This window comes from Homo sapiens, chromosome 22 (assembly GCF_000001405.40).
Source record: "Homo sapiens chromosome 22, GRCh38.p14 Primary Assembly".
Classification (NCBI taxonomy): domain Eukaryota; kingdom Metazoa; phylum Chordata; class Mammalia; order Primates; family Hominidae; genus Homo; species Homo sapiens.
This window is the reverse complement of record NC_000022.11, coordinates 30,944,740-30,957,532: the sequence shown is the minus strand read 5'-3', so window position 1 is coordinate 30,957,532 and position 12,793 is coordinate 30,944,740. Positions and strand designations below refer to the sequence as shown.

At 44.3% G+C, this 12,793-nt stretch overlaps 1 protein-coding gene across 7 annotated transcripts in view; it reads left to right on the top strand.

Annotated features, from left to right (window-relative positions):
* Window positions 1–12,793, top strand: part of MORC2 (MORC family CW-type zinc finger 2) — a 43,645-nt gene that overhangs the window by 11,242 nt on the left and 19,610 nt on the right. For 5 of the 7 annotated variants that reach the window (NM_001303256.3, XM_047441203.1, NM_001303257.2 and 2 more), the window contains 4 exons: window positions 736–770; window positions 7,088–7,156; window positions 7,691–7,781; window positions 11,084–11,192. In NM_001303256.3, coding sequence (NP_001290185.1) covers window positions 736–770; window positions 7,088–7,156; window positions 7,691–7,781; window positions 11,084–11,192 — 304 coding nt within the window. Of the gene's footprint in view, window positions 1–735; window positions 771–7,072; window positions 7,157–7,690; window positions 7,782–11,083; window positions 11,193–12,793 lie in introns of all 7 variants that reach the window. The other 2 variants (XM_017028667.3, XM_011530004.3) reach the window with 1 other exon arrangement.

Genomic DNA, 12,793 nt, shown 5'->3' with positions numbered 1-12,793 from the left:
GTTTTAGATATTTGAGAATAGGTATATGTAGAGCTGTGTGGATTTTTTGCATGTAAAACCAGTGAAACGGTTTCATTTTCTTTGCAGTTGGCAGAATTGGACTAAATTACTTCTGAGCCTTTATGGAAGTCTTCATTGATAACTGAATCTGTATGATTTCAGCCAATGGTTGGAGTCTAATGGGGCAGGGGTATCCCAACTTCCTTTCAGGTTTAGGGAGGTTAAGATTATGGGCTCAGGAATCAGTCTGCTGACTGCAGTGTGTATACCACGAGAAGTGATTTTTCACAGGTTTTGTGGGAGATTATTGTCTTCCTTTTTTCTTAAAATATTGACGAGAAGAAAAAGTGGACAAGTTATTGGAACATCTTTTTATGATTGCAATCAAATGAGTGAGAAAAACATATTTGAATCATTTCTTAGGGTATAAAGGGAAATATTCTTGCTTATCCTATAGATGTTTTTACCACAAAATCAGGATTTAAAAAAAATATCCAGGCCCCATGTCATGTGATCATCTTCAATAATTTGGGGCTTCAGAAATGTTTTACAGATATATAAAGAAAATTGTGTTGTCAAGTATAAAAGTAAAAAAAATTCTAAATGTCTATAGAATTTCTGTATGGCTTCCTGAAAACAGACTCAAAATACTCTGCATTCTACTCAAATCACTATGCATTTTGATGGTTGATATTTCATATTAATTCACATGATTCTTTTCTTTTCACTTTGCAGAGATGCTGATGCCACCAGAATAGATATTTATGCAGGTAAGTCAGGCTTTAGTCCTTCTAATGTCTAGTTCATCTTAATGCATTTATTACTGTGCCTAAGAAGAATTGAGTGGGAAATAACTGGATTCGGGAGCCTGGGAAGATGGCATGATTATTCCAGGTCATAGGTAGAAAAGGGGCAGCCGTAGTCAGGTATGGTCAGCTCTGGTCAGGCATAGAAACCAAGAATATTGGTTTCAAGAAACTAACACAAGGTATCCAAATCTATGTAAATAGCTACTAGTAGAGTTATGGAAGTGATGGAGTGGAACAGTAGAGAGTGAAATGACCAAGTTATTTTACTGGTAGGCGTTAATAGGTGAACGAGGTTTGTGGTACCTGCAGCCAAGGAGAGATCTTGTTGGAGGCCACTTTGTTTTGAACTCTTGGTGAGCACTAGTCTCAACTTGGAGAATTGCTGGTATCGGTTGCGGAAAATAGCAGTAACTGGATTGGCTCTGAGGTTTGCTGAGTTGTTCTCAGAGGTGTCAGGAAGGAAGGCTGCTTGGCTTGGAATTTACACCTGTCAACATCCTATTTCGTTTTGCTTATTTGGCTCTGCTGTTTTGTAGTAAGATCTTCTCCTTTTCCTAGAGTGAGTGCAACAGTCATTGGCCTTTTAATTAATTAACTCATTAATTTTAATAGTTTGCTTTCTGCCTGGTATTTGTACTAGCACCTTTTTTAGTCATTTGAATACTAAAAATTTGAAAGCAGAATGGAGGAAGACAGCTTTTTTTTTTTTTTTTTTTTGAGATGGAGTCTTACCTTGTCACCCAGGCTGGAGTGCAGTGGCACGATCTTGCCTCACTGCAACCTCCATCTCCCAGGTTCAAGCAATTCTGCCTCAGACTCCCAAGTAGCTGGGATTACAGGCGCCCACCACCACACCCGGCTAATTTTTTGTATTTTTAGTAGCGACGGGGTTTCACCACGTCGGCCAGGCTGGTCTCAAACTCATGACCTCAGGTGATCTGCCTGCCTCGGCCTCCCAAAGTGCTGGGATTACAGGCGTGAGCCACCACACCTGGCCGGAAGACAGCTTTTAAATACAATTCGACTAGTGTGATGTGTTTTTTTCTGACAGACTTTTCTGAAATCCTCTGAAATGTGTGAGGTGATATTTTGAGTAGCATGAACTAGGTTCTGAGAAGTCTGTATGTTTACATGGGAATGAAATAACCCCTCTTCATGGACCCTTTTGATGAATGGGAACAAGCACACAACTAAGTAGTAATTCTCAGAACCACTAATGTCATATAATTATGAAGAATCTGCCCCAGATTTGATGAATTTCTCATGTCTGCTATACTTTGGAGCAAAGAAAATCCTCAGAGCAGCTAAAAGTCAGCTGTACTGCTTCAATTCTGAAAGCCTTTTGTTCAAAAGGCTCTGCCAAAGTGGTAAAAATAAGGCTTCTTTTCTCTCTAGAAGAAAGTAACAGGAAATAGGGGCACACAGGAAAAGAATGTTAGAAGATGATTACTAAATGCTCAGGCCAAGGCTGGGCGTGGTGGCTCACACCTGTAATCCCAACACTTTGGGAAGCCGAGGCAGGCGGACCACCTTAGGTCGGGTGTTTGAGACCAGCCTGACCAACATGGAGAAACCCTGTCTCTACTAAAAATACAAAATTAGCCGGGTGTGGTGGTGCATGCCTCTAATCCCAGCTACTCGGGAGGCTGAAGCAGGAGAATCGCTTAAACCCAGGAGGTGGAAGTTGCCATGAGCCAAGATCGCACCATTGCACTCCAGCCTGGGCAACAAGAGCGAAGCTCCGTCTCAAAAAAAAAAAAAAAAAAAAAAATGCTCAGGCCAGATGGAGGTGCCTTTCCAAGCCAAAGCATGTATCTTACATCTGAGTGTGCTTTCTCAGGAATGGTAACAGCTACCGCTGGAAAAATAGGGCTTATTTAATCAATGCACAGATGCTAAAGCAGAGAATGGGCCTCTTCTCCAAGTGATGTTGAAGGTACAAATCGTAATGGTCAAGTCTACTTGGAAGACGTTTTTTAAAAAAGATCATCTCTGCTGTCTCCTACTACATTTGGTGGGTAAATTTCAGCAAGGAAGTTTAGTTCCTGACACTCAGAATGAAGTTGGATTTCAATTTAAATGAAAAAGGACCCAGTGTGTCTTTATTCTGTGCTCAGTACAACTCCTGTTATGCTTTGGGAAATGTCCAGAGAGGAGGAGATGGGGGTCTTTGCTTTAAGAACTTAGTCTTTAATTGGAGAGACAATTAATGCACTATGGATAATTAGAGAACAATAACTAGATCTTGAGGGAACAGTCAAGACAGTTAAGGATTAAATGGTGTGATAGAAGCACTAAGCACCATAGCATTTTGGAAAAAGACTTGATTTACTTCAAGTACCAGGAGATTGGGATTCTTGGCTAAGGGATCTTTAACCCTACACTTTTCTACCACAGGGCCTTGTTAACACATTCAACAGGAGAAATCAGTCCGTGGAATCTTTTTTTTTCACCCAGGCTGGAATGCAGTGTGCTATCTAGGCTCACTGCAACCTCCACCTCTCGGGCTCAAGTGATCCTCCTACCTCAGCCTCCCGAGCAGCTGAGACTACAGGCACACACCACCATACCTGGTTAATTTTTGTATATATATTTTTTCACCATGTTGCCCAGGCTGGTCTCAAACTCCTGAGCTCAAGTAATCTGACTGCCTTGGCCCCCCAAAGTGCTGGGCTTACAGGCTGAGCCGATGCGCTTGGCCAGTAATAATCTTAATACTATAAAGTTCTTGTTGTTAGTTCATGGGGGAAAGTATTTTCTTATCTCCACTTCTGAAACTGATTGATAACTGGACTTGGAAATCTTTCCAAACATCAGATGTAGTTTGAAGTCACCACAAAGTCACATTTAAAGACCATTTTTAAACCTAAAAAGGGCAAAAAAGGAGCCAGCCTCTCAAAGTGTAGAGGTGTTCATTTACCCAAAGCATATTATTATTAGTTGGATTATTATTATAGACCATAATATGCCTGTCATAAGCAGACTGTTTTTGTTGACTTTCTTGACCTTCTGGGGTAGGTAGTGCCACCTCCTTGGAAGAAAGATCCTTTTCGTGATGCCAGGGCAATGATTAACACATGGAAAATTGGAGCAAATGAAACTGCAATTAATACTGCTCAAACAGATTGCAGAGTATGATGAAGAACTTGGATGTCATTTTATTGCAGCCTCTCCTGGGGACACCATTATTTTATCACCTTTGACTTTTGGATGTATAGCTCCATTTGACATCTCTTGTCTTTTCCTGCTTTCTTTCTTTATTCTTCCCAGTGGGAGTTAGATGAAGAATGTCTGGCTTGCAGAAGCCAGACTTGGCCATTCTGGGAGATGTGCAGACTTTCAGATTGGCTTTGACAGTCTTACAGAGCTGTTCCCAGGATATGAAGCACAGCTGCAAAGCAGGCAGTTCGGCTTTGCCTTCTCTTACTTTCAAGATGTGTGATGGGAGGCGGGGAACATACAACCCCCAGCTGCTTAGACTCTTCTTTATCCAGAATTCCCCTTCCTTTATCTTTGGAGGCTTCAGATATCACTCAGTTGACTGATTAAATATCAGGTGATAGGAATCTATCTCTATGGTGGAATATATGAGGAGATAGTTTTGAGCAGGGACGCCTTCGAGTTCTTGCTTGCTCTAGTTTAGTGCTTCTCAAAAGGTGGTCCATCCACAGATGTTGTCAATATCATCTTGGAACTTGTTAGAAATGCGAATGCCCCACCTCAGACGTACCCAGACTATCCAGGGGGAGCCCAGAATCTATTTTCACAAGCTCTTTGGATAATTCTTACCCATACTACATTTTGCTCTAGCCAATACTTTTCTAAGCTTCCTTCAGCTTAAACCCTCCTGTCCTTTACTTCCTAGCTTATCTGCTGCAGGCAGTAGAATCCATTAGATGTAAGCTCCATGAAGACAGTGATCGCATATGTACTGTTCACTGCTCTTGTCCTCATCATAACCAGGCACAGAAGAGCTGATCACTAAGTAGTCATTAAATAAACAAGTGATTGGCATAAGCATTTGAACAAGGTGAAGAGACCACACTGTCTGTTTACAAAGTTGAAGAAGTCAATGCTGTCTTAGTCTTTCTTGGCCCTGAGGCAGTATTGCATGTGGCCATGGACCTAGACACTACTAGCCATTTATAGGCTGTCAGTTACTATGTAGCCAGGAGGATCCCCCCAGTGTCATCTCTTACCCTTTAAACTACACGAAAAAGCTTTGAAATGAAGTCCTTGAGCCAGAAAAGGATACCAGCCCCACTGTTAAGTGATGATTGTGTGCTAAAGCAGCCTAAGAGTTCTATCCTAACACAAGAGCCTAGAAAGTAACTTCTTAGGCAGTGTCCAAAGAATGCCAGTAGTCCTTGGGGACTTTTCAGAGGTGCTTGGCTTGAATCAATTTCTAGATCCCAAAGCAGAGTCTTCATGCACATTTTGCGGCTGTAGTGTACAGCAAATGGCTCTTGGCTAGGTTTAGAATGCTGCTTTTACCATTCTCTGTACCTGACCCAGTTTGAGTCTCCTTATGACACTTGGCTTCCTCCAGATGGAAATTTTGAAGCCTTTTTGGACTTTTATTGTACTTATTCTTGATTGCCACGTCTCATTTGGATTCCCCAGACTCTGATTAGAGGCACTGCCACCAGGAGAGATTTTATCTAACCAATAGTACTTCCAGGAAGATCCTCACCCTTGTACTTTCAAGAAGCACTTGTAATTAATGTTCAGCTTCCTGAACACTGAGTGGTACTTGAAAATCTCTGTGGTTTATAGCCTTACAGAAGCTACTCTGGAGGCTGAGGCAGGAGAATCGCTTGAACCTGGGAGGCAGAGGTTGCAGTGAGCCGAGATCACGCCGTTGCACTCCAGCCTGGGCGACAGAGTGAGACTCCATTTCAAAAAAAAAAAAAATAGCATTTTAATTTACATTAATAAGTCTATTTGACAGAGGGCAGTCCCTACTCACTTGAATTTTTAGCCTGAAGAAAGGACAAAGAGCATTTAAAACAGATTTCTCAGCTTAGATAGTTGTACAAAATTGGTTAACTGAAGCTTGGGGGAGATTCCGAAATCATCAGGGACCAGGCTGCAGAGCAGCCTTGGGCTTGCCCTTGTAATACCTTACACAGACCTCTTTCCTCTTAGAAATGCTACCTTTATCCCTGTGCCAGTCAGTAGACTGAATAGCATCTATATGGGAAGTTGGCTTGCTTGGCTTGTGTGGGTCTCCTCCCTATACCTCTGCCTTACATCCTTCTCTTCTTTGTGTCTACCAACTTCCTTGATTCCAAGGCTGGTTTCTCTTTTGCTCACCTAGTCCTCATCATTGGGTCAAAAGGCACCTTGGAAGCTAGTATAGCCTGTTTCCATATTTGGGAATCGCTTCTCCATTGACCATGACATGCTTGGACCCAGACCACTTTCAGTTAACCACTTTCTGCTGCAGAAGACAACTGCTGAGAGAAGACGTTCTTTTCACTAGAATGGCAGCCGTAGTTTGTTGTGTTCCTTTTCTGTTGGCCAGGAAACCCCACCACAGCTGCTGTGCATCTTATTGTCAAAGGACCATTCCTTCTTCCCATCAGGCAGGTCCAGCTAGGAACAAGGCACCTCCACGTTGTACCATGTGCCTTCTCACTGTTGGGATGGGGAGCCCTTTCAAGGACCATAGCTAGCAGGGGATATGACAGTAAATGCAGATAGCCCAGAATGCCAGTCAGCCTAGGGATGGTCATGTATAGACACAGTACTTCATCTTTTAGATAGCAGCTTCCACTGCTGTGCCCATACCATGTCTGGTTTCATCACTTTGAAGGATACCCCAGACTTAATTCACAAAGGAGGCATCCTGTTGAGTTTGAGCAGTATTGATAAAGTACAGTGTGTGGTAGTTGGAGTACTTTAGTGCTTGGGGTCTATGGCATAGGGCAGAAGTGATAGTAATCCAGGTGGAGTGAGCAGAAGGATAGGATGATTGAGATATGTGTGAGGTATGTGCATATTCAGTGGTAGTGGGTATGATTAGATGCTGGACCAGATATTCCTGCCTTCAAAGGTTCTCCCAAGCTTTGTCATGATCTAGAAAACATTGGAGAACCTTGGATGGGAATTTGCAACCTCAAGGACCCTGAAGTTTAATTCACACCAGCGTAGAAAGTTTAGGCTTGACCTGACCTTTTTGGACCAAGCTTCACATTGATCTGCCTTCTGATCATAGGCATGTTGCCACCCTGTGGTGGGTAACGGCCCAGTAATGGCAGCTGCTTCTTTTACAGAAAGACGAGAGGACCTTCGAGGAGGATTTATGCTTTGCTTTTTGGATGATGGAGCAGGAATGGATCCAAGTAAGTGATGAGATTATTGTTTTGGGGGGTGGGGGGGTGCGATGTAACCATTTTTACAAAATACTTATTGTGTGAACTTGTTTTTCTGTTGCCTCCAATGTTATGTCTAGAAGATCCACCTGGGGAGTAAGAAGTCTGTTGCAACATCTCAGGCTTAATTCTACTAATGTATTTGCCAGGTCTTGTCCTAACATGGGAGATAGGATCTGAAAGGCAATCTTAAGTCAATCAGATTACCTGTCTCTTGGCGTTGTATTTATCAGCTTGCACAACATTCTCGAGCTGGACCTACAGATGCCTCTGCTAGCTGTCTTACCACATTCTGGGAATAGAACATAGGTCACAGTGATAGAGGTACCAACAGGCCAGGCAAAGCTGTGCCTCCATGTGCTTCATGGTGGTGAATTTCCTTGGAGAGAGGTTTTCAGCAGATACACACCCCTGCTTGGATTTAACAAGGCTCAGACCTTTGACTTTGAGGACCCTGGGAAAGAAATGCAAACTTTTCACTTTCTCTTGTGTCTGCCCTTTCAGGTGATGCTGCCAGTGTGATCCAGTTTGGGAAGTCGGCCAAGCGAACACCTGAGTCTACTCAGATTGGGCAGTACGGGAATGGGTTAAAATCGTAGGTATATTAGAAGCTTGTCACAGGGCTCAAACAAAATCCAGCAATGCTGTCCTGCTTCTCTTGGATGAAAACTTTCCTTCTCCTTGTCCCTCTATTGACTATAATTCTGGAACTGGAAGAAGTCAGAAAGTGGTGGTTTCTGGAGTAGCTTACCAGCTGTTCCCAGCTGAATTTACTCCACAGATTGAAAAGTATGAACATCCAAAAACAGGGCAGGAGAGGCTGTACGTTTCTCTTGGCACAGTGCTCTAGAACTGCACCTCTCCTGTTGAAAATTCTTATTTTTACCCTGTAGTCAAGGATGTGAGTGATTCTCTTGTGGTGTTGGGATGTATCTGAGATGATGAAGGGGTCACCTTACTGTGCAGCAGTGTTCCCTGAGCACCTGCTGCATGTCATGCTTTGTGCCAGGCACTGGGGATCCAGGGTAAGGAAGAGAGATGTGAGCCCTCCGTCCCAGAGGATGCTGAATGTACTGCAAGGCCCTTATAGCAGGGACCTACCTAATGTCTTCAAATCCCATGGGACTTTTTCTTAGCCTTAGTTCCCAGTTGGTTAGTGTTTGGAATGTGTTGTTCTGGTTTTGAGTGAAGCCCCAAGAGAAAGGTTTCTATTTCTGAAATGCTCACTTCCAGCTGTACATACCTTTGGATGGAATAAGATTTAGTGGAATTGGAGTTTGTGCAAATGGAATTGTGAGTCACGTTTCCAGTCTTGTCGTGGAAATGTGTTGTTTTGTTTGAGGGAGGGTGGTGGTTTGATCAGTCAGCAGCATCAGTTGGGCCTTGTGTGCAGTTGTGCTTTGGGTGTATGGAGAAGAAAGAGAGTACTTCCGAAGAAATCAGGACCTGGTATCCGGACTTTGTGATTTGTCTTTCAGGGCAGGAACCAAATGGTAATAACAGACACTTACCATGTGCCAGGCACACGAATAATCTCATTTAATCCTCATGATAGCCCTGTGAGGTTGTAGGTACTATTATTTTCAGATGAAGAAATTGAGGTTTATAAGGGTGAAGTTACTTTCCCAAAGGCATTAAAAATGCCTATGTGTAGAGCGCTAGGGTAGGAACCAGGTCTTTCTGACTGCAAAATGGAGCTGCTGTGCATTTCACTTAAATGACAAGCTAAGGTTCAAATCTCACTTCCGCTACTACGTCTCTAAGCCTCAGCTTCCTCCTTTGTAAATTGAGATGATAATGCATACCAAGTAGGTTAAGAATTACATGCTATCATTGCTGTGAGAGCCTGGTTTCTGCCTTTATTTCTCCTCCTTTGATGTTTCCATGGCAGATTGCTGGCCTGATTCAGTGGATCTGGGTAGGGGCTAGGAATGTGTTTTTCACAGATGAAATGAATCACCTGTAATCATATGATTCTAATGCAGGTTATCTAAATCCCCCAAAACTGAAGTCTCCTAGAATCAGGGGAAGCCCTGACTTTTCATCTAGATTGTAGATCAGCCTCCTCCTACCTGGTTCTGTCAGTTCTGTGGCCTCAGGCAAGCCATTTCACCTCTCTGAATGTCTGTTTCTTAATGGCCTCAGGCAAGCCATTTCACCTCCCTGAATGTCTGTTTCTTACTCTAGAAAATGGGGTTCTAATCTCTGACATTTATAGAGTGAGGTTCAGAAGCAAATGAAATGTGACTCTGAAAGTGGTTAGCAGACTGGGAAGGAAAGCGTATAGAAGTTGAGAGTGTTATTAGCGTATTTCAGTGGAAGACTTTTGTGAAGGTCCCATTGAGATGGAGCCATCTAGTGTTCAGAGTAGACAGTAAAATCATCTTGAAACCAATTCAGAAGTTGAATAAGTTTCAGGAGAAGGTGATTTGTGGGGAGAATAGGGCTGAGAAGCAAGGAAGCCAGTTAGAGAAGTGATATTTGGGGCTTTTGCTATTCAAAGGCTAAAGTCAGAATCAAAGACAGAAGGAAGATAGAGGCACAAAGTGAGAGTTTTTGCCAAATTAGGGCAAGGGCATGCTTTGACAGAAGGCAAGATAACGTGCCTTACTTGCTCCCCATACGCTTTAGGGAAGGAGGAGGAGGTGGTGTGTGAAATTTTCAGGGCAAGGAGCATTGCCAGCACTTTGGGTACTGGAGGAGGAGAACGAGGACTTGGCAGCCCCCAGGGTATCTTTGAATAGTGTCCTGGGAGTTTTCCTGAGTGTTTGGGGAAATGGGGCATGACATTCATTTGTGTGCTTGGCATGCCAGTCTGGTTTGTATTGGTACACAGAAGAGAGTAATGAGGCTTTCCACCTCCATCATCTCCCTGGGGTGTTATAAAGACTAATGAGATAATAGCCATAAAGCTCCAGAAGCTGCTGGAAGAAAGGAGCTGAACAGCCCCATTGTTCAGAGGGCGGTCCCCCTGCTGGTGCTTCACACTTCTGCCCTGCCCTGCGTTGCCTGGAAAGGCCTGTCCCTGCCTGCTTCTTAGCCAGCTTAATGTGGCCAAACAGAGGAAGGAAGCAGTTGAATCCATTCAGACTTTTGCCTTTTGGAAATCAGCCTCAAGGCACAGTTCCCAGAAACCAGTTGCATCCAAAAGCAGGGAGCTGCCTGTGTCATAATGAGCTTGAGGTGGCAAAACACTTCTGGGACAGGAGATAGCTCCAGTTATTGGACATGAGCTAATTACAGGCATCCTTGAATCCTGTGGTCAAGAATTATATTTTATTAGCCCCTCTGTATTACTGCGCCTTGGGTTCATACTGATGTTTTCTCGGGCTTGTGAGTATAGGCACTGGGCTTTTCACTTAACAGTGCTGCTGCCGTTTCGTCAATGGAGGGGAGTTTGTGTCAGCTGAGGAAGGACACGGTGGGAACTGGGGGTGGTCAGCATGGAAGATGACGTGTTGAGGGTACCAGCTACTAAAGTCTGATGGTGGTACAGTCAGAGGGCACAGCACCTCTCATGCGTCTGGGATGAACCAAGAGCTCAAAGACAGCAGGGTTACTCTTCAGCGTTGTGGGGGGAGTGAGACTAACCTGGGGCTGGTGGTCTGCCGTGAGCCCGCCCTAGAAGGGTGGTGAGAGAACCCTGTATGGTGTGGTTGAGAACGTTGTAAGTAAAGACTAAGGAGTTACAGGCCTGTGGAAAAGCAGAGGAAGGAGTGTTGGGGGATGGAGAGGGAACGAGGGCTGTGGAACTCAGCACACAGTCCTGGGACCTGGGGGGGCCTTTAGGAGAGCCCTCCAGTGGCACTTTCAATCATGTCCAGAGTGGATTGATTTCTTTTGCAGATGAGCTTTTGACTCCTGGGAGAATAACACCCATTTCTGTTTCCTTTTCAGGGGCTCAATGCGCATTGGGAAGGATTTTATCCTGTTCACCAAGAAGGAAGACACCATGACCTGCCTCTTCCTGTCTCGCACGTTTCATGAGGAAGAAGGCATTGATGAAGTAGGTCCCATCATCGTGGTCTGCATCACCAGTCCTCATTTCCTGAGTCTGCCCAGGCGGTTTTCGTAGGTTATTTGCAATGCTAGACTCTTTGGGGTTGCAGGATTGGAGCACATTCCCCCTAATTGTTATGCAGTTAGCTGGCTGGATGAATTGGTTGAGGGGTTAAGGTAGATAACTTTAATGTGAGAGGAAGCAAAATCTCAGAGCACTTCAGAGAACAACTGTTTCCGAGAATGAGACTGTCAAGTGGCAGGAATTAAGAGTTGGATTTGCAGCTCCTCTAGATCTGCCACTTGAATTCCATTTTGGGGGGAGTGTTACCATGGAACATTGTTTTATCAGGGGGAGTATTTTGGGCTTCCCTGATCATGGTGTTTCCTATTTGGTGGTGATTTTGTGGAATGTGCTATGAGCTCATTTTCCTTTTGAAGAAATGTGTTACTCTATGTCAGAAACTATGACTCAGATACCTAGAGAGAGCCTGGGCAGGTAGTAAAGCAGGTGAGTGTATGGAGAACAGGAAAACAGAGCTGATGCTGTGGGTCTCGTCTTGGGAGTGGCTGCTACACAGCCCCAGTGATTACTGCTATGCTGGAAGGAAGGACTAATGAATCCAGAATATTCTGAGTTTAAATCATTTTAGTAATTGACTATGTAAGCTAAACACACATTTGGCCGATTCTCCTTGTGGCTCAGATGTCTGCAGAGCTGTTTCTGGTGAGGTCTATGCCCCCTCATTGTGGGAGATCAGGGCAGCTCTGTGGACTACCCAGCCTCAGACTGGACTCTTATCTCCTTTCCTATGTAAGACATGGAGGCCAGGGCTTGAAAGAAGGGGGGCTAAGAGGTTCTGTGGAAAGAAATCCGCAACTTCCACAGAAGCAGGTAATTGAATTCAGACTTACAATTTAATTCATCTGTGTTGATTAGCTGTGATTAAATTTGTTCTGGTTCTGTTTAGATCTGAGCCTTAATCATAGCAAACTTGTTCAGGTAGGGAATGGTAGGCCTTCCGTCATTACGTAGCAAGCCAGTGGGTTTGTCTGCCTTTTTGGTGTGGTATGTGAGTTCATTCTGCATACTTGAGTGAGAGAAGCGTGGCAGCTGGAAAGAGCAGGCTTCTAGGAGAAGTAGGATAGGAAAATATAGCCTGGGTTGGGGTTTTCAGGAATGTTTCCTGATACAGGACTGAGGATGGTGACAGGAGGGTATGGAAGTCAGTAGAAGCAGCCTGCTTAAGGCCCTGAGGGCTGTGGGAGGGGACTTGGCTGCAGGGCCACCTGGAGAAAGGTGGTGGCCTTTGGAGATCAGAGAGGGCCAGGTTAGGCTTGACCTCGGGGCCTTGATGAATGTGTGGGGCTTTATTAAGCAAGGATGTGCCAGTATCAGATTCTTTTAAGAAGGTCCATGTAGCGATTGTGTGGTGATTGGGTTGGAAAGGTTAGGGTGAGTGTTGGAGTGTTCCAGTTGAGAGGCCCAGGCTCTGTAGCTTGGCGGTACTCGCCCAAGGGAGGTGAGAGAAATACATGGAGTTTCCATCTCTTTAGGATGTGGGACCCACAGATTTGGTGATTGATTGATTAGTAGAAGGCGAAAGC